Below are 22810 nucleotides of genomic sequence, written 5' to 3' on the forward strand. Positions count from 1 at the left end.
AGTATTACATGATGGCTTTATTTGTATCATTCTAACAGAAAAATGACTTTTTTTCATATCTCTAATGGCGTTAGAATATACTTATTTGTGATGGGCCTTTTTAAGCTCATTTTTTGTCTATTGGGTTGTCTTTAGAATATTAATTTGTATGCACTCCTATATTCTGAATATGGGTCATTTGTTAGAAAAATAATTTGCAAATAGCTTTTACAAGTCCATAGCTCCTAAACTGCCATCATATTTCTCAACCATCGTTTTATATTTTTGATGCTCATGTTTTTAAATTTATTCAAAAATTAGGTATTATCATCTATGTTCCAGTTTGATCACTCTTGTAGGTGATGGAAATAAAATAATGAATATGAGTTAAAAATTCATGTTCTTATGGAGCCTAGATATTTATGAATAGGCATAGAAAAATTAATGAATACATATTACATTACGTGGTAATAAGTAGAAATAAGTGCTATGTAGAAAAATTTGCCAAGAGTCAGTAGATTGAGGAGAAGACGTTGCAATTCTAAATAAGGTGTTCTGGAAAGTCTTCCCAGAGAAGGTGAAATGAGAGTAAAGGTTTGAGCGTGGTAAGGGAGTGAGCTATCCACATTCATGGAAACAGGGAGTTCCAAGAAGAGGGATCAGAAAGAACAAGCTTTCCCTGATGAAGAATTATGTATGATGTAACGGGTTGACTGGTGGCACTCAAATATATATGTCCACACCCTAAGCCCCAGAATCTATGATTCCAACCTTATTTCGAAAAAGGTTCTTTGTACCTATAACTAAGTAAAGGATCTTGAGATGAGATAATTCTGGACTATCCGGTGGGCCCTAAATCCAATGACAAATGTCTTTATAAGAGAGAGTAAGAGGGAGATTTGACACAGACACATAGGGGAATAGAAGGCCATGTGAAGACAAACACAGAGATTGGAGTGATGCAGCCACGAGCCGAGGAACAGCTGGAGCCACCAGGTGCTGGAAGAGGCAAGCAAGAATTCTCCCTTTAAACCCTTGGAGGAGTGCCACCCTGCTGTCACTGTGATTTTGGACTTCTGGCCTTGAGAACTGTGACAGAATAAATTTCTCTGTTTTAAGCCACCAAGTTTGTGGTAATTTGTCATAGTAGCCCTAGGAAATGAATACATATGGGATGTTTGAATATACACAGAGCTGTGTGCCTGCCGGGGTGAGATGTAGGAGGAGGTAGTAGGAGATGAGGTCAGAAAGGTAGCAAGGAGCCAGGCAGATAGGTGGAGGCCAAGAAGCTGTCACATAGACTTTGGCTTTTATGGCAAGTGAGTTGGGAAGTCAGTTTGTTTGCATTTTGGAATACTCCTATACCATGAGGATTCAAGGAACATGACCTACTTCGTTTTTAGAATCAAACCTGCCATCCGTCTTTGCTCCTTATTCATTGGCCTGTTTCCAGGCCCTGCAAGTCTACAAAAATCTGGTAAGGACTTGTCATCCACTTGTTCCTGCTCCATTTTTCTTAGTTTACCTCTGAATCTTTTGTTCTTAAGTTGCCATATCTGTGGCTTTAAAAGTCTGTCCTCACACTTACTTCCTTGTCCTGGCTAAAGTGTGAACCACCCTCTAACTCCATAGAGATAGTGAAGTGTTCCACTTCAACCTCAGAAGTTTTCTGAAGCATCTCTTATAAATTTCCATTTTAATATCATAGGTGAACTGAATTGCAGTAGAATCTCTGAGCTTCAGTGCTATTTCACAGTCTAAAATAAGAACAACCTATTCTAATTTGAAATATAATACTACAACCATGGTTTCCCCACAGCAAGATGGTGCCATCTGGCACACTACTAGTGCAAGACACTGAGTTTTCATGCAACATGCATATCATTGGGATATATATAAGATTTCATCCAAAAGCTGACATTTTACTATGATTAGTTTGTCAACTTACTATAACTCATTAGAATTATAGAAAAATATTATGGCTTTGCAAAAATGCAAATAATATAAGAAGAAGAGTGTCATTCTAACAATTAGAATCAGTTATCCCACATCTAGACCTCACTGACATCTCCAGGGGTCCTGTGAAAAGATAAAGGCAATGAGGAAACCATTGTCTGCAAAATTAATATCACAGTCATATTATCTAACAGGAAGATCATAAGTACAAGGTAAGCATAGGGTAATTTTTCTTTAGCTGTTTTTCTTTTTCTTTTTTTTTTTATTATTATTATACTTTAAGTTTTAGGGTAAATGTGCACAATGTGCAGGTTAGTTACACATGTATATACATGTGACATGCTGGTGCGCTGCACCCACTAACTCGTCATCTAGCATTAGGTATATCTCCCAATGCTATCCCTCCCTCTTCCCCCTACCCCACAACAGTCCCCAGAGTGTGATGTTCCCCTTCCTGTGTCCATGTGTTCTCATTGTTCAATTCCCACCTATCAGTGAGAATATGCAGTGTTTGGTTTTTTGTTCTTGCGATAGTTTACTGAGAATGATGATTTCCAATTTCATCCATGTCCCTACAAAGGACATGAACTCATCATTTTTTATGGCTGCATAGTATTCCATGGTGTATATGTGCCACATTTTCTTAATCCAGTCTATCATTGTTGGACATTTGGGTTGGTTCCAAGTCTTTGCTATTGTGAATAGTGCCGCAATAAACATATGTGTGCATGTGTCTTTATAGTAGCATTATTTATAGTCCTTTGGGTATATATCCAGTAATGGGATGGCTGGGTCAAATGGTATTTCTAGTTCTAGATTCCTGAGGAATCGCCACACTGACTTCCACAATCATTGAACTAGTTTACAGTCCCACCAACAGTGTAAAAGTGTTCCTATTTCTCCACATCCTCTCCAGCATCTGTTGTTTCCTGACTTTTTAATGATTGCCATTCTAACTGGTGTGAGATGGTATCTCATTGTGGTTTTGATTTGCATTTCTCTGATGGCCAGTGATGGTGAGCATTTTTTCATGTGTTTTTTGGCTGCATAAATGTCTTCTTTTGAGAAGTGTCTGTTCATGTCCTTTGCCCACTTTTTGATGGGCTTGTTAGTTTTTTTCATGTAAATTTGTTTGAGTTCATTGTAGATTCTGGATATTAGCCCTTTGTCAGATGAGTAGGTTGCGAAAATTTTCTCCCATTTTGTGGATTGCCTGTTCACTCTGATGGTAGTTTCTTTTGCTGTGCAGAAGCTCTTTAGTTTAATTAGATCCCATTTGTCAATTTTGGCTTTTGTTGCCATTGCTTTTGGTGTTTTAGACATGAAGTCCTTGCCCATGCCTATGTCCTGAATGGTAATGCCTAGGTTTTCTTCTAGGGTTTTTATGGTTTTAGGTCTAACGTTTAAGTCTTTAATCCATCTTCAGTTAATTTTTGTATAAGGTGTAAGGAAGAGATCCAGTTTCAGCTTTCTACATATGGCTAGCCAGTTTTCCCAGCACCATTTATTAAATAGGGAATCCTTTCCCCATTGCTTGTTTTTCTCAGGTTTGTCAAAGATCAGATAGTTGTAGATATGCGGCATTATTTCTGAGGGCTCTGTTCTGTTCCATTGATCTATATCTCTGTTTTGGTACCAGTACCATGCTGTTTTGGTTACTGTAGCCTTGTAGTATAGTTTGAAGTCAGGTAGCGTGATGCCTCCAGCTTTGTTCTTTTGGCTTAGGATTGACTTGGCGATGTGGGCTCTTTTTTGGTTCCATATGAACTTTAAAGTAGTTTTTTCCAGTTCCGTGAAGAAAGTCACTGGTAGCTTGATGGGGATGGCATTGAATCTATAAATGACCCTGGGCAGTATGGCCATTTTCACGATATTGATTCTTCCTACCCATGAGCATGGAATGTTCTTCCATTTGTTTGTATCCTCTTTAATTTCATTGAGCAGTGGTTTGTAGTTCTCCTTGAAGAGGTCCTTCACATCCCTTGTAAGGTGGATTCCTAGGTATTTTATCCTCTTTGAAGCAATTGTGAATGGGAGTTCACTCATGATTTGGCTGTTTGTCTGTTATTGGTGTATAAGAATGCTTGTGATTTTTGTACATTGATTTTGTATCCTGAGACTTTGCTGAATCAGCTTAAGGAGATTTTGGGCTGAGACAATGGGGTTTTCTAGATAAACAATCATGTCATCTGCAAACAGGGACAATTTGACTTCCTCTTTTCCTAATTGAATACCCTTTATTTCCTTCTCCTGCCTAATTGCCCTGGCCAGAACTTCCAACACTATGTTGAATAGGAGTGGTGAGAGAGGGCATCCCTGTCTTGTGCCAGTTTTCAAAGGGAGTGCTTCCAGTTTTTGCCCATTCGGTATGATATTGGTTGTGGGTTTGTCATAGATAGCTCTTATTATTTTGAGATATGTCCCATCAATACCTAATTTATTGAGAGTTTTTAGCATGAAGGGTTGTTTGTTTTGCTTTTTCAAAGTTTTAAGAATTATCTTCAAAACCAGAAAATAGGGGTGACATTCTTTCCCATTCAAAATCATAATTGGTTCATCCACTCTTTCTTCTCACTTGCTAATATTTCCTTCCCCTGACTTATTCAGAGCCTGAGCTGCAGCCAGCTGGGAGTTGGTTGGCCTCAAACATTGTCTCTTCAGTGCTTGATTTTTCTTTGAAGTCCTGAAATAGGTGTCATTTAATGAAGTTCCTAATTTCATCTTGATTTATTTGTCTTCAAATATGAGTCTTGAAAAATGTCAAAGATTAAGGGAAAGATGTTAGGAAGAGAAAAACCACAACACAAAAATTTCTTGTAAGTAGTTCTATATAAATATATTATGTATGGCTGGGCGTGGTGGCTCACGCCTGTAATCCCAGCACTTAGGGAGGCCGAGGTGGGCGGATCACCAGGTCAGGAGATCGAGACCATCCTGGCTAACATGGTGAAACCCTGTCTCTACTAAAAATACAAAAAATTAGCCAGGTGCGGTGGCAGACGCCTGTAGTCCCAGCTACTCGGGAGGCTGAGGCAGGAGAATGGCGTGAACCCGCGAGGCGGAGCTTGCAGTGAGGCGAGATCGCGCCACTGCACTCCAGTCTGGGCGACAGAGGGAGACTCCATCTCAGAAAAAAAAAAAAAAAAAAAAAAAAAAAAGAAAAAAATATATATATAGTATTTGTTTGAATTTTTTGAAGAAAGATAGCGTTGTTTTTCTGCACATAAATTATTTGAAAAATATGATTACGAAAATAACCCATAGCCTGTTTTTTCTAGAATGCTGTGAGAATAGCCAGAGGTGAAAGCTGATATTTCTAGTTTGTGAAAGCTATTTTTTTCTGTACAACTCTCATCTAAAGATATAGGACAGTCAGGAAAAATTGATAATTTTGTTAAAGTGGCAGATAAACAGCTTGTAAATCTGTAGGTTTTTTTCCATACACTCATATTTTTAAATAAACAGGATTAGAACATAAGAAAAGGTTATTGTAAAAGTTTAGTTGGTGCTGATATCCGGAAAACAGTAGATGTTATTAAGCTTCACGTGTTTAAATGTTCTAGTCAGCTATCAGAATGATACAGTAGCAAAACGTATTGGATTCATTTTAGAGGTTGCATCATCTACTGACCTCATATTTTCCTGCCCTCTTGTGAGTTTATTTACTAGGTCATTGCCTGCACCCCCTGGATTTGTTGTAAGAGGCAAGTATAGAGAACATAATTCTAGAAAAGAGTACTAAATGAATTTATGGACAGATCAAAGCCAATATATATCCTTGTCTTTTAATATTTCAGTATATCCTGATCCTTCAATTTTGGCATTGTTTTTCTGCAACGTAAGAGTAATATATTGGCCCAAAATTTTATCAGGGAGAAGCCAATGTATTGCACATTAAACGTTCCTGAGGTGACCTGTTTTCTTTATTAAATTTTTTTATGAAAAGAGAAATAATCAAAACAAAGAATGAGTAAGCATTAGCATGTAACCACAAAATTGAGAAGATAATGGAATGAAAATATTTATCTTTTTGTATAAAAACTGTGTACATATTGTAAGTATAATGTGTAATTAAAATGCCTGTAGAGTTATAAAAGAAGGCCTATTACATTGTAATAATTATTATTTTGTTTTAATACTAACTGTGGAATGAAAGGTAGTAAGAGGATTTTTATTGTAAAGTGGATAATAACCAAAAACCTTGGGGAGGTGGAAGAGAAAACCAAAGTAGATATAATGTGGGTCATTCCAGGAGAAAAGATGGAACAGATTCCTTTTGTTTGTTTTTTTTTGTTTTTTCTCTTAGAACACCAGAGTTTTACTAAACAAACTTTGTTGGCACTCTCTTAGGTCTCAGGGTCTAAACATGCTCTTTCCCCAAGAAGTTCACAGCTCCGTAATAACTCTCATTTGTATTAAACTTTAATGTCCTTGAGGATATTGCAGCCCATGTTTCTCCTTTCATGGTCTCCAATTTAGCTAACAGATTTCTAGAGTTGAATAGAGTTAAATATTGTTCTGCTCAATTTATTGCCCACAGGATGACTTCCTCCAATTTCCAGAGGACTTTTCTGATGATGATGAGATCCAAGTGATCTTTTAATTTTGGAGAGCCAGTGTTGGGCCTTTCTATCAAGTGCACAACAAAGTGACTGACATATAGTAGTCACTGATTAATTGCTCATTAAACAGATAGGTTGCTGGACGAGCCATTAGGCAGCTATAGTTGTTAATGTTTGTCTGTGTTCAGAATTACATATTGGATTGACACTTCTCTCAGTTAATACCATCTATTTTTAGTTACATCTTTCTCATCTCATTTATTTTTAAAGGATTCCCAAGTGTTACACTTTCAATCATATCTGTCAGTAGGATTAAACTCAAGAAAGCAATTTCAGGAATTACAGTAGAGGAGGTAGAAAGGAAGCTTACTCAAAAAATTATTTCAAGGAAGAGCTGCTGACTTGAGCTAATTGTAAAGTTTCATTGCCTCCATTATGAAAACAGAAAATATTATCCATTGTTCAATTAAGTAATGAATTGAAGCATTCACAATCCCCTAATTCTGAGACTTAGAGCATCTTTGCTTCCCTTCCCACATCTCACTTTCAATTTTGAAAGGGAGCACTGCTCCTGCTATCATCCCTCACTTGGAAAAAGACACTTTTTACAATGTTTGATAAGATATTTACACAATACTACTGATGCTATTAACAGCACCAACTAGAGATAAAATTTATTGAGCACTTAGTATGTGTTGGACACTGCTCTAAATCATGTTACATGTTTTTTTATGAGTTATCCCTCACAAATATACTATTGGTGAAGTAGGAATTATTATATATCCATTTTATTGATATTTTACATATGAAGAAACTAAAACACAGATCAGTTATGTTACTTGCCACGCTTGCTCATTAAATACATATCACACAATTATAATTTGATTCCAAGAAATAACACTTTAAAACCTATGCTCTACCCTATATGGTACTCCTAATTCAGAGCACAAGAATAATTGAGATTTCATAATTGAGAATTAGGAGTAAAATTAATGTGGTCATTGATGTATTTTCTATGACAGTCCATGCACTCTTAGGAATTGTACATGTTTTATAATAACAATGACAATTTTCCAAATGCATTGTCTTTAATCCCTCACTTTTTTCAGCATGCATTATCTTCCTGATGGCTTCCCTATATGTACTATATACTCCAGATCTTAAGGTTTTAACTTCAACTTGACTCTTATTAATATTATCTTCTAAATTTGGAGTCTCAATTATTCTATTACTCTGAATTACCAGTATTGTGTAAGGTAAACACAGATTTTAAAGCTATATTTCCTGAAATAAAATTATAATTATGTGATCATTAAATAGATATGTTGCTCATTATGTAATACTATCTATTTAATAAGTAAATGTGGCAAGTACCGTAATTTATCAGTGTTTCAGTTTACTCATCTGTTATGGCAGCTCCAGCTGATTATAACAGAGGGTATTACAAGCTATCTTCAGTCTCCTCAGTAGTCGTACCCTAGACTCATGCTCCTCTCCATAGATAAACACATGTCACTTTAAGGATACAACAAATGTTATTGGGCATAAGTGGCTTTGACCTCTCCTTCCTTCTGCTATTTAATTAACTTTATCACCACTCATTTTTATCTCTGGTCTCATAGGAAGTGGCAACTTCCTTTCTCAACCAACACTAAGCTTTCATACTGTTTCCCTGGACTCATTCCCTTCCTCAAAAATCTCAGATTTGTTAATTTGCCTCTCTTTTGAATCCTATTCAAAATCTCCCTCCTTGCCATCATTTTCTTTTCTGCCAATAGGCATATCAAATTACATAGGAAAAAAACTTTCCCACTCTGTCACACATCAACAAGCATCTTGAAATTGCAAACTACCCTTTCCACTTCTTTGCCTCCCAGAAATCTTTTACCATATTGAGAAGTTTGCTTCTGACTTTACCATTTTATGGGAAATGCTTTTATTAAGATTGATGTTCTCGTGAAATTGCTCAACTAACTGGTTGTTTTTCAGTTTTTGTCTACCTGACATCTCTGGTGGACTTGGCTATTGAGAAATCTGTTGTTAAAATTATTTTCTTTTGTATTCTTTGTCAACATACATATAATACTCATATTTTTGAATATTATACTTATTTTTATTATATCACTAGCTTATATCATTAAGATTATATCACCAGCTTCTTCTCCTGGGTCTTCTTTTAACACAAAATATTTACTTGGTTTCATCCTTGACCATCATCTCTTCTCACTCAAAGCAACCCCTTTGGGTATGTTTATCTATATCCATGATATCATCTATATTCATATGCTGATGATTCTCAATTTTTTTCTGAGAGAGAAATTCATCTATCTAACCTACTTTTGGTATCTGAACCTGGATATGCCAAAACACCTAAAATATTTACAATACCTTTATATATAACTTTTGTAAATATTATACAATTCCATCTTCCACATTAATAAGAAAAAACTTATCTACTACTGTGCTCGATGCACTATAGGAATGTATTCCCTGAAAGCTATTTTACTTACTCTACCTTTAGCAGCATCAGTTCCCCATTTTTCTGCCTTAGTATTATAATACCAACAGCTCCATATGGAACACCATGACAAACCATGCTTCTCTACCTTGCTCTTTTCTGGTAGATTTTTACTTATTCCTTTGAAGACTCTGTGTTACTTTTACCTGTTTCATAACACCTGTCTTAGTTATCTACTGCTGCCATAACAAATCACTACAGACTTAATAGCTAAAGAACACAAATTTATCATCTAGCAGTTCTGTGGTTGGAAATCTAACTCGCCTCACTGGGCTAAAATCAAAGTGTTGGTGGCTGCATTTCTTTCTGAAGACCCTAAGGATGACCTGTTTTCTTACTCACTCAGGTTGTTGGTAGAATTCAATTCCATGCAATTGTGGAACTGAACTCTCTATTTCCTTGTTGGCTGTTGTCTTAGGGCTGCTTTTAGCTCACAGAGACCTCTCTCAGGTCCTAGAACATAGTCACTACATCTCAGAAACAGCAATGGAGCATCAAATGCTTCTCATAATGTCATTTCTCTCATTCAGGAAATATTTGCTTTTAAGGACTTATATGATTAGATGAGGCCTGCCCTCACAATCAGAAATATCTCCAGATCTCAAGGTCTTATCTTCAATAAAATTTTCAAGATGTCTTTTGCCTTGTGAAACAAAATATTCAAAGATTCTAGGGATTAGTGGAGGGTTATTATTAGGGAGATATCACTCTGCTCACTACAATCTGTTCTCTGGCCCCCAAGTTTTAGCATCCATCCCAAATAGATTTTCCTCATCTCAAAGTCACTCAAAGTCTCAACCTATTATATTATCAACCAAAAATTCAAAATCCCGTCTAAATTTCATCAGCCCAGAAGTCCCAGACTTTATTATGCATGTCATGTAAATTAGGTATGGGTGAGGCTCTGGGTATATCCACTCTGGGCACAATTCTCTATCTGTGGATCTGTGAAACTAAGGAAACAAACTGTCTGTTCCCAAATGATGGGACAAGCACAGGATAATATGTATAGACATCTCAGTTCTAAATTAAAGAAAATGGAAGATAAAAAAGGGCTACAGTCCCAACCAATTCCAAAAACCAGTTGTATAAACTCCATTGGGTTTCAAGGCCAGAAAATAATTTACTATGGCTTGTGACTCTGCCTTCTGGGGCAACTCCATCCTCTGAGCCATTCTTTTTTTTTTTATTATTATAAAACATAGTATGTGTTTTCAGCTAAATATTTATCTTTCTATTTCCTGCTTGTAGAATTTTTGGGGTCTTGAATAGCTATTCGTTTCAAATTCTCTCTCTCTGTCTCTTTCTGCTCATGTAACATTTTCAAGAACTTCATGAGTTTCCTCTGTATATCACATGTATTATGTCAAATGGTCAAGACGCTATTTCACAGATTTTCCCTAGATAATCCCCTCTTTATTTTTGGCTTTTGCTGAGATTATTCAGATGATGTCCTTAATCTTCCTAGATATCCTGTTATTTGATTGAAGAGATCTATGAATCATGCCCTCAATCTGCTAAAAAATGGTTTGTGTTCCTGAATACTATGAGCTTCTAATCTTTATGGGGAACCAGCACAAGATTATATAGCCATACTCTCAATCATTTCTCTAAGGCATACTTTCTGGATATCAAACCTCTTAAACTGAATTTTTTTCCTTCTGGATAGAAAATTTCCTAAATCATTAAGCTCATCTTTACATTAGTTGAGTTAAACAATCATATTCTGGACTATGACTTCAAATTTGGGATATTTACAATTACTTCTCAAATTTAGATTATCTTAAAACTATCTTCAGTTGAAATATTTGCCTAATATTACAGCCAATAGGGTGATAAAAGTTTATATTTAAAAGTTATTCCCTCAATTTATCTTTCTTGTATCATATTTATTTTAAGCAGTGGGAAGAAACCAGCTCACGTCTTTAATATTGTGCTTGGCATTTTCCTTAACTTTTGCACTTGTTATATTTCATTCATATTTTTATTTGCACATTTACCTCTCCCACTGAAGAATGATCTCTCTGTGAGCAGTTAATGCTCCTAGAAATCTTTGCATCCCAAGCACATATCACTGCTTATGATTGCTTAATAAACACCTGTTAATTGAACAAATACAAGTAATTTATCCAATAACCTCTTCTCCACTTCTATTCCCTTCTTGGCTATAATATTACAAAACTATTTCAAGATGATCTAATTTGAGAGGTAATTATGAATGTCTCAAATTTGAAGTTACAGTCCAGTCTATAATTGCTTTACTCAGTTAATGGAAAAGTGTATGAAAATTGAAGTTGTTTTCCTTCAAAATGCTACATACTCATAAAAAAACCCTTTCAGATCAATATAATCATATTAGTGGTCTCCGTTACAGTAAGTCATGAATTCCCAAGTAGAATTCTTCTCTTTTCTCTTAACATCATTTCCAAAAGGCTTTTAATATTTAGAAAAGAATAAGAAAAGTATGCAAATGAGTGCCCTTTCTCAGTAGAATTATTTTTATTCACTGTGAAATAAAACTTTATAATAATTCCCTGAGACCCTCTCTTTCTTTAAATGATGAATTTTATATTAAATATAGAATGAGGTCATCTTCTTAAGGGCAATTGAGCCATTTCCGATAATATAACCTCTCAAAAGCTGGTACTAAATATATTTACTAATATATATGGGACTGTTATATGTAAAACATAATCATTCAAAAACAGACCAACATTGATATTTGTTTACTTGAGTACCAAGGAACAAAATCATATAAACATGAAACTCTTCCAAAGTTCTTTATGCTACTGAAATGCTGAATATCTGGACAGTTGAGCCATGTTACTCAAGAAAATGGATAGCTTGTGTGATGCATAAGATAGTTTAACACATACCTAACCAAGAGCATATGATGCCATCACATTTTGTTCATATTTAAAATTTTCCCTTCATTCGAACTTATGTGGTAAATAAAACTGTTAGTGATTGAGTTACAGAATATGGACCTAATTTAAAATAAACTTTTTCTTTACCTTAAAATAGAATTGTAACTTGAGAAAATTGTTAAAATGAACTATCATAGAGGCTCTAAATTTAATAAGACAATATTTTCAAGCACATTAACATTAATTTCATGTACATTCCATGATTATGTACATGATCATTTTAAGGATTGCTCAGATATATAAAATTCAAGTAATTTTTAATAAAAATAATTTTCGATTTTTTAACGAATGTATCTGAAAATAGCTTCACATGTTTAGTTTGTTCAATGTTAAATGTATTATATGTTACTTATATATTATGATATTTACATTAATAAACTTAGTTAATGATGTTTGATGATTATACACACAGCAGCATTAAAATATATATGGTGGTGGTTATTAAAGTGGATGTAATATAATCTGAATCCAGTAGAATGAAATGAAATAAAATGAAACTAACAAAGAAAAAAAATGTATGGAGGACAAAAGGATTTAACCTTTCCTTAGAATCAGTTAAATGTGAAGAATTAAAAAAGAATGTCTACATGAAAAAGGACGTCTTTCCTGCTGCTGAATATGTTTCTCAGTTCAGAGGGGGTGGCATTTCATCCTACATCCTAGCTCTACCACAATCTGTTCCTGACAGGACCCTCCATCTGTTTAGCCTGAACAACCCTGCAGTTGCTTATGTGCTTATTCACAGATGTAAGTAGGAGGTTGACTACAGGTTTTTTGACTTATACTTGAATCCAAGCTAATGTGACACATTTGCAAGCATAGCTGCACATGTTCTGGTTTAATTGGGAAATCTCTCCTTTGACTTTCAGGATAGCACAGAAGCAGAGACTTTAAGTCTAAACAGACCTAGATTCAGAGCCGACCCGATGCTGCTTGAAGAAGGCTGGAGGTATGTTAAGGAGACAAGGGCTGTCAAGAAGCAGGGATGTCTCTGGAAAGGGTGAGCAGCTGACGTCCTTTGTAAGTTCTCTGGGCAGCATTGATGGGAGGTGAAAACCTTGGGAAGAGTCTTGGTTTAACGTGGACTCTAAATGGTACAAAGTAATTAGGGCCTCCTTTGTTTCCATAAACTATCATAGACACTCTTCTAAAATTTCTGTGTTATCCTAGCTGCTTTTCTATGATATTTTTGGACCCCTGACTTATTTACACAAATGGAATGATAGCTTTTGGTTGGAAATTTTAAATGTCTAAGGCACAAATTAGACATGGGACTTCATTCACACTTCTCCTCTAGATCTTAATCAAGACACCCTACAAGCTATATTGGACATTGCACAACGTTTACAAGTGCAAAATGTACGGAACATGTGTCAAGCATTTTTAAAATTTGCCATTGTGGAGCAGTGCTCCAGCATGATTTGTAATAGTGCATTCTGCCTTCCAAAATGTTTTGACTACTGGTGGTAATTGCTTTACAAGTGAAAATTAGCCTCCTCCGTTCTCAGAATACTTGTAATCTGAGCATATCACACCTCCACATTTTGCTTGTGATGCTCTCTCTGTACCTTTTATCTTCTTAGGCTATTGAAATAGTTCAGGTTTCAGCTCAACCGTCGTCTACTCCATGAAGCCCTCCTTGATCCTCTCATTCAATACTGATTACTTAATGCCTTTGTATTCCCATAACAAATGCCTTTGTTTCCATCTGTTGATATTAGGCAGCACAATCTGAATTGAGTCATTGTTGTGTACTTGTTTATATTTTCTAGCGGATTGTGACATTTATATTTGGGTGACTCTGTTTCTTAGTAAAGGATCTTAAAGAAAGTATGCTCTCAATAAATGCTTATTCAGTTGAATTTTGGGTATTAATAAAATGCAAATTCCAGTAGAGCCTTTGTATAATTATACCCAGATAGTTTGATTTTAAAAACTAGTAGAGCTCTTATAATTCTTATAATACTTTATATTTCCTTATCCCTTTATGGTTTGAAAATACTTATATAATAAATATGTATGTGCACATGTAAGAGTCCAGTAAAAAAATTCAAGCTGCTACAGCTAGAGTGGGTGAAAAGTGGGTGGTGCAATGTAACTTGGAAAAAAAAAACAAAAGTAAAAATCTTCTAAGAAATGGGAAAACATTATTTTTTATGGAGTACTTGGAATATAAGTTGTTCTCTTCCTGACAGAGAGAGAGAGAGGGTGAGAGAGAGAGAGAGAGAAAGATAATTCACTTTACAATAACAAAGAGGAGACAGTATTCTCATTCCCACAAACCTTAGCAAGCCTTTCTGCTGAGTTTATATTAGAGGAGGCTCACATCTCAGAAGGTCCTGCATGTTTACAAGGATGTGAAGTAACAAGGAGCATCAGAAATAGAGCCCTTATTTCCAAATCATCTTCTGAGCAGTAAGCTCTATGGTTTCCTAAGATGTACTTCAGCATTTCCCCAAGGGAAAACAAGATGAAAAGGTAGGATTCCAGATGAGACACACACACACACACACACACACACACACACACACACATTGTTACTTCAATTTAGCAGCTCTTCCTATACTTAAGCACGTTGCTTTCCTTCTTAGAATGTATTTGAAGAAATGGTTCCTTCACCAAAAAAATACAATTTTGAAAATCACTGACCTAAGGACACTAAAAATAAAATTAACAAATTCTTAAGGAATTTTAAGTGTTATTACAGCTTTCTGGAAAGCCAAGAATAAGATACTAAAGATTTTCTTGCGAGAATGTTTAGGGAAAAAAAAAATCAAAAGACTAGAGATGCTAAGAAAGATGCAAAACAATGAGAAGCATGACTCCTAACTTCACAAGGAGCTACAAAAAGGCAAAGCAGGTCACTCAGCAGGGTGATCACTTGTTTAGTGGAACTCCAGATTTCTGGAAGAGCAAATGGCAGGAGAATTTACTGACCGCCTCTCTCCCTACACATATTTTACAGATTAAGTTTCATCCCACAGGGAGTTTAGTCACTGCAGCTTCAAGCTGCATCTGACTTTCTTCCAAGTCTAGAAATGAAGAGGTCATCCAGAAGAAGTGGAGCTTCAACCAGGAAGAATTAAGGTGAAGGCAGTTGAGGGAGTTTGGAAAGGTGTATGAGACCTACATCCAATGCAAGTATAATTTTTTAGAAACTTTGAGTTGTAATAGTGAAGAGTTTTACTTGAATAAATATGATCAGCAGAAAACTTAGACTCACACCATAGAGATGGAAGTTTTGGAATAAATACAGGTAAAGGAAAAAGCATAATGAAAGACAGACCTATAAGAATATTACACTAAAAGTTTGGTTTGTCTGAAGTATAAAATGTATTATTTTTAGTTATACCTTCCTTTTATTGGACAGTATCTAGGAAAAAGATAAGCATTGAATCTGTATTATGAAATTATAAGTTACATATAATGTTAGCACAAAGGCATTCCCTTAACCATTCCTGTCTGGGTTTACCTAAATATCTCATTGAAAAGAGAATAATTTTTGATATTAAAACAAGATTCAACAATATAGCAAGCACCGCACCAAGTATGAGGAACTCATATTCCTTATCATTATTTTTAAAGCACTAAGGGATACGTGATAGTTTACAGAGAAATATACCTGCTGCTATATACTCAGTCTAAATCATAGTGGCTATTAGTGGTTTAAAGACAGGTCAACCTGAATCCAATTTGGGATTCTTTCATTTTGAGTGTACTACTTAGCATCCTGAAATATGGTACTTTTCTTTTGTTTTGTTTCATTTTAATCAGCAAAATGGTGATAAGAATATGGCAAGCATAGGTTGTAGAGAATAAATTAATAATCCATAGTAATGTTCTATCATGGTGCCTAACGAATGATAGATATTATTACTTGATGTTACTTAATATCATTATCATCCTTATTTTTATAACTACTTATATACTTGTTAAATATTTAGTAATCTGTGTACAGTTAATTCCTAGTAGAAGTTATATTTTTCTCAACTAATAGCTTATACTGTTCTTGTGAAATGAAGGGATATGAAAACTAAGTTACTGGGTATTGTTAAGGATTAATTTCTGAACTGGGTGGACCCCAGCAACAATAAAGTCACAATCCTTGTGCGCCTGGTATGGGTTGATCAATTACTAACATTTGACATAGACTAGAGACTAGAAAGTGAACAAAGTTTCTTCATGCCTTCCAGAGTTTCTTTTCACATTCATCAATTATTGTGATTGTTACAAGGTTATGTGAAGAGGGTAGACCAGTTATTTTTACTTCCTTTTAATAGAGAACTGAGACTCAAAGAAACTGTGACTTGAATAATATTTACAGTTACCTTTTGGCAAACTCCTCTTTCAAAACCACTGTTTAGAGCTCAAAGTATACTACGCTTCATCACAAGACTCAAACGGATGAATATATTACATGTAAATATATAATATAATTAGCATCTTTGGAATTATTGAGCGGTTGCTGTTCTAGACTGAGAAAAAAAGGTAGCATTTCATTAAAATGTTGGTGTTAGAGAACCAGAATTACAATGCCATTCAGTATTACATAATAGGCCTATTCTGACCTGCCATTTTGTGGACTAGATGATATAGGGAAGTAATCTAAAGTAAAATTTTACTGTAAATAAACTCTTCAGTAATTCAGGAAAGCATTTTATGTACTAGTGCTCCAAATTCAGTAAATTAAATTCTGATGTAATGACCTGTCTGGTTCCTTGTTCCTAAATCCATCAAATGAAGCTCCACCTGCAGGTCCAGACAGTTCTGGCCCAGGCTTGGGATTCAATCTGATTTCCTAATCAAGGGAATAAAAAACAAAACAAAACAGCAGATTCAATAATGCAATGATTTAGCTGAATTATTTTTTTTCCTATGTGGCTCTGAACTTATACTGCACTTAAATTACTATGTTCTGATGTTTACTAACAGCTCATTTCAATTAAATCATTAAAGGAAATGACAAATTTTCTGTTGTGTTCTAATACTCATTCCTAAATTCCAAGACTTTCCTCTTAGAATTCTATGAGTCCTTCCCCTGAGATCTGGTTACCAAAACTTTCTTCTATAATTTAGATATAAATTTTAGTAAGATTGCTAAATGTTATTCCATTGCTATTTTAATCTACTAATCTGCTAGCATGTTAATTCTGTTATTGACTATTGAACTTCTTTGATTTTAGTGGTCTGTCTACTGGAACTATTAGATTATTTTCTATCATAGTTATCTGATACTACACAATATTTTAAAATTCTGTTGTATACTCTTTTTGTATACTTTAATTGCCAAATTGTAAAAGCTACATTTTCTGGGCAAATTTAAACCTAACAAAAATAAAGTTGAGAGCTGATTCTGTGACCACATCAGAAGTATATTGTTGCATAAATAAATGGGAGGAAGTTTCAAGACCACCTGGGAGCATAGAAGATATGCTTATCAAAGGTGTGCCTAATCCAAAGTTAGAAGATATAGTAGTTATTTTCAATAATTACATTATATTGAAGAATAATCCTAATAGATTGTCATGATGGGGATGACTAAAGCTTTCTTGAGATAAATCTATGGCTTAAGTAATTTATAAAGAAAAAATCAAAAAGTATAGTTATCTCATCACTAGAATGTTTAAACAGATGGTTATTTGGCAGGAATATTGTAGAAAGCACTCCTTCATTGATTTATGGATGACCTCTTACGGGCCCTCCACCAGTCTAATCTTTCAGTTTATAATTCACAGGAGTCTCATACTAGCCTAATGTTGACCAGTATTGTAGTCAGCAGCCCAGTGAGACTATAACATGTGTTGTCTCATCATCCCATCTCTTTTCCTGTAGCAATTATTTTTATTTATCTGCATTCATAAGATCAAATACTTTGTCTGGAGGACAGTAAACTCATTGCTATCTCAAATGGAAAACATCACATACTGTTCCTAGTAAACTAATTGAATTTACTTTAAATAGAAGACAGGACACACACAATCATGACAATAAAAAGACTGTTATGATATTATGCACTTAAAAAATTTTAGTTTTTCACACCTAGTTAGTACTGCGGAAATGTTAGGTGTTCTTTAAACCATCATATTCTTACTTGAATTTATATTCTTAGTCATTTTATTTCTAGCAAGATAGATAAATGCAAAGTCTTGAATGTGGACAATGTTTATTTAAGATGATGTTCTATAAGAAACTTTGAAAAATAAAATCCAAAAAGAACAAATTAAATAATATGAGCTTATTGAATTAGTGATATATAACATGGTGAGAAAACACAATAAATATCCTCAAAGATCAAATGCCACCTGCTGTGATTCTCTTGGCAGAAGACCCATTGGATAGTCATTGATCTCTTCCATGTGGTGTAAAAGAAATTCTAACCAAGGGCCATTTCCCCAGTGGCTATACAGCTTTTCCAATAAAGCTTTTTCTTTATAGCCACAGAGAGATAATGCATTTCCATTGGGAAGTGAGTGTATGAGAATATAAATCACCTGGGAATCTTTGAGCGAAGGATTTTTCTTTAAATTCACTACAGCCATCTTCACTTTTGTCACTTTCTAAAGCCTGGGTTCTCCTACGAATTTTAACTAACTTTTTCCAATAGAAGGTGGATATATTGTAATCTAAGTAATCTTCCCAACTAGCTTTTTGGAAGAGATGTCTTAAGAGATACAAGAAAAATTCTTAGCAAAAATCACTATTTTTATCAAGCGGTCAATATTTTTCACTTCTGTCTTCTACTGTGGTGAAAATGCAAGCTTTAAATGACCCTCTTGTGCACACTCATCATTTGGTGCCCAGTACTTCTTCTGTCTGATTTTATTTCCCCACCACTCTGCTCTAAAACTTGTATATAGCTTCATGATCTAAATTAACTATTTCCTTCTTCCTTTGCCTTCACTAAGACTCAGTTTTCCCTCAGAGCGCAATCAGCCTGTTACCTTCTGGAGTGGAAATGGCTCAGCCTCCCACTCTAATGTATTACAGGCCAGGGAGAAATACCGGTACCAATGGCATTAAATCAACACCATTGTTTTTTTAATTGAAAGAGAACCCATTTATTCAGATTCATGAAATTTAGCACTAATCAATTTGAAAACTTCCTTTACTATCATATTATTAGGTCTTTCTGCTCCTTAGCTTAGCTATGTCTGAGTTCTTGTCTCACAACCAGGAAGAATTAGGTGAGTGGACATGGGAGAGTGAGTGGAGTAGAATTTATTAAGTGAAAGGCAAGCTCTCAGCAAAGAGGTGACACAGAGGCTGTTTTCCCTACCTGAGGGTGGGAATGTCCCCCATGTGGCTGGGTCCGAGCCCTTTTATGGACTCAGAATGGGAAGTATGTGCTGATTGGTTTGTGAGTATGCAAAAAGGTTAAAGTTAACAAACCACTCAAAGGTGAGCACAACAGCGTAGAAAAGCAATTAGGAAAGGGTGGGGATCAATCAGAGGAAAGTACACCAAACAGGAATAAAAGTTCTTCATCTGTTCTATGGATTTAACTTGTAGGTTGGCTTTCAGGTTTTAAACTGTCTTTGGCTTGGAGGTGGGGTTTCACTGGGGACCAACCCCTATCTGTCTAGGCATTTGCCTGCCTCCTGCTGCTCCTAATATTTAATCTCCCAATTATTATATTTTCCCCAAGTATTAGAGAGAGAAATGAGTCCCAGCTTATAATCTTTATGATGTTAGTTCTAACTGTCATCAGGGAAATAGTCTAACATTCATGTGGTAAACATGCCCAACAATATAGTTCTAAAGAGCTATCCAATTTCAGCACTAGCCTGAAGACTCCAATCCACAGCTTACTACATGGACATATTCTGGAACTTAGATGTGCTATGACTCTTCCATTTTTTTCTCTCATAATCTCTAAAGTTGAAAATAGATGTATTTTTTCCAGCTGACTTTTCACATCATATTGCAGCTGAATACTGCTCCAGGAAATAATAATGGCTTATAAACTAGTGACAGCTCAAATCATGGTCTCTAAGCTACCTTATCCATCAGTACCCCCAAGGCAATCAAACATTTTCTGAGATCTTAGCCAGCTTTTTCTTTCCAAAATACTTATCCCAAACCTTTCAACTCCTAAGTCTCTTTATTCATCTGCTTAATTCTGTCTCTTAACATGGCCTGGCATACATTATGGAAAATATTGATATCTTTAGGAGTAAAAAGTGTGCAATTTTCTAAAGCTAGAAACCATAGAAATGGAGTCCCACCAGAAATCAAGGAACACTTACCTGAGGAAATGCTGGATTATGCAGAATGCTTTGGAAGAATGTGGTAGATGGTTAAACATGACTTGAATATAATTCAAATCCGACAGGAGATGTGGGTGGAAGGATAGGTTGGAAGCAAACAGAGCAAATTTTAACTTGATGTTTTCACCATACATGTCTTTCACAAAGATAAATATTATCCTTTTGAACTTCCAGCTACCCATAGGAGTAAATTTATACAAATCCACAGAAGACTGGATGAATAGCATGAACATTTTAGTAGCAGGAAACATTGGGAGATGTCAGAACAAAAATGATCAGTTTAAAGAGACAGAAGAAAAGGAGGTAATTCATCAGTTATATTATTTGAGGCCATTTCAGAGTAGTTATTCATTCAAAAGGTCAGTTTGTAGATTTGCTTTGCAAATGGAACAAATTAAGAAAATGATAGGCTGAGAGATGATTACACACTGAATGTTAGCACGGTGTTCCTGCCAGCAGGGCACTGATGAGCCTTTGAATAGAATGGGATTAGGAAGTGATTTTTCAACTGTTAAATGGTATCAGAGCAGGTAAACATATAAGGTTGTGTGGTTTGGAACAAAGCATCATGAATAGCTTTTTAAATTATTAATGATTTCTCCTTTTGTTAGTGCTCTGTTAGCAAGGCCTGCACTATTATTTAGTAATTCCTTTTAATTAGGCTTCTCAAAGCTGCTTTTAAGTTATATTCCATTTGAAATGAAAATAATTGACTACATAAAAGAATTAGAAACCACTGTATTAAAACCACATGTTTAAGTACAACTGTTTTGTTCCTTTTTTGCTTTCAAAGTATATTCTTCCTGTTAAGAAATAAAACTAACAGAAAAGCAATAAATTAACCAGGTTATTTAATATACAATAGCTAACAAAATTAATTTGCAACAGTGCAATCCAAAAATAGTTTAATCCAGTAAGGAAGTACAGAATGCTGTGCAATATGATATGTGATAAGAAAGAAGAGTAATTAAGCCATGTTGCTGTTATACAGTATCTTAGAAGCTGATAAAGAGAGGTTTATTTAACAGAATACATTTTTAGCTAAAATGACACTAGCCAGATTTGCAATAGGATGTCTTGTCTTACATTCTCTAGTAATGATTGTTTTTTTGTTTTGTTTTGTTTTGTTTTGTTTTGTTTTGTTTTGTTTTGTTTGAGATGGAGCCTCGCTGTGATGCCCAGGCTGGAGTGCAATGGCACGTCTCAGCTCACTGCAACCTCTGCTTCCCAGGCTCAAGCAATTTTCCTGCCTCAGCCTCCCAAGTAGCTGGGACTACAGGCATGCGCTACCACACCTGGCTAACTTTTGTATTTTTAGTAGAGATGGGGTTTCACCATATTGGCCAGGCTGGTCTCAAACTCCTGACCTGAAGTGATCTGCCCACCTCGGCCTCCCAAAGTGCTGGGATTACAGGTGTGAGCAACTGTGCCTGGCCTCTAGCAATGATAATAAATATCTAATGTCTAGTGTTTTTATTTGTCAGATGGTTTAGTAGACACCTGTTAATTTGTCTGCCTGGCATTCATTCATCTTCCTCATGGTAGGTGTACCCCAATTTTCCTTGAGAAACCAGACCTCATCAACTATTAGCCTATGAGGTCCAGATGGCATTGATTCCAGGGATGATCACAGAGTCTAGGGATGGTTTATTAGAACAAATCATTCTTTCAGCCATAGTGATTGGATCAAAGATGGATAGAAGATAATGTTATGTGATTCAGAACCAATAACATTCCGTTTATGGACTGACATGGTATGAACAGCAAGATCCATTCATGCCTGAAGTAAGAAAATGTAAGCCAAATACTACTTTGATTGAGCCGTTTTGAGCTGAGTTGCTGTCTTTTATAAAAGGAAGTGACTGAACTGAAACAAATGGCTTCTTGGAGAAATCCCTAAATTACTATGATGTTTTAAATCCTTATACTCTTAAAGTGGCACGGGCCCATCCCCACTCACCTCTTTCCCTCATAACACTCTTTTCTGTTCTGATCATATAAAAGAGATAATGGTCACTTGCTTTTTATAATTTTCCTTTATGAAATTGAATGAAATTTACAAGTAAAAGGATAATATCTCAACCAAATGTTACTGATTCTAAAACTAATCACTCGGTGCAATTAATCTGTGCTTATTCTAATGTCTGTTTGTACCTCCTCCTCCCACACCAAGTCTATTTACTTTGTTTACTTACCAACATGGATCAAAATACAATCAAAGCTTTCAAAAACAATTACAACAGATGTGTGTCAAATTATACTATAAAATTTATCAAGTCATTCCTAAGGTTACATTAAATAAATAATAGAAAATCTTACCTTTGCTCATGATTGAACTGAAAAAAGAAATAGTCAATACATGATATACAATATGGAACTAACTTACAGAATCAAATCACAGGTAATGTTCTTACTACAGGCAAATAAATTAAACAAAGGAATAAACAAACAAAGCTGTAATATTTGTAAAATATTTGAGGGTAGAGTTCAATATAATTGACATAAAGTAATTAATTTCACCCTAATGAGATGTCTAAATTGGATCTTAAATATTAGCTCATTGCTTTGAGTAATGACAAGGAGAAACAGAAAAATATAGGG

General features: G+C 35.1%; 2 long non-coding RNA genes across 6 annotated transcripts in view; one reads left to right on the forward strand and one right to left on the reverse strand.

The window, feature by feature from the left end:
• LOC105375630 (uncharacterized) overlaps positions 1-22810 on the forward strand; it is a 559756-nt gene that overhangs the window by 202025 nt on the left and 334921 nt on the right. For 2 of the 4 annotated variants that reach the window (XR_007060996.1, XR_007060997.1), the window contains exon 3: positions 12812-22767. This is a non-coding gene — a long non-coding RNA (uncharacterized LOC105375630). Of the gene's footprint in view, positions 1-12811; positions 22768-22810 lie in introns of those variants that run through there. The other 2 variants (XR_001745653.3, XR_007060998.1) reach the window with 2 other exon arrangements.
• The window catches only part of LOC105375629 (uncharacterized), a 113196-nt gene that overhangs the window by 44169 nt on the left and 46217 nt on the right, over positions 1-22810 (reverse strand). For both annotated transcript variants that reach the window (XR_928383.4, XR_001745651.3), the window contains 2 exons: positions 20189-20216; positions 16649-16740 (listed from right to left, as the gene is read on the reverse strand). This is a non-coding gene — a long non-coding RNA (uncharacterized LOC105375629). The remainder of the gene's footprint in view (positions 1-16648; positions 16741-20188; positions 20217-22810) is intronic.

This window comes from Homo sapiens, chromosome 8 (assembly GCF_000001405.40).
Source record: "Homo sapiens chromosome 8, GRCh38.p14 Primary Assembly".
NCBI classification, from domain to species: Eukaryota; Metazoa; Chordata; class Mammalia; order Primates; family Hominidae; genus Homo; species Homo sapiens.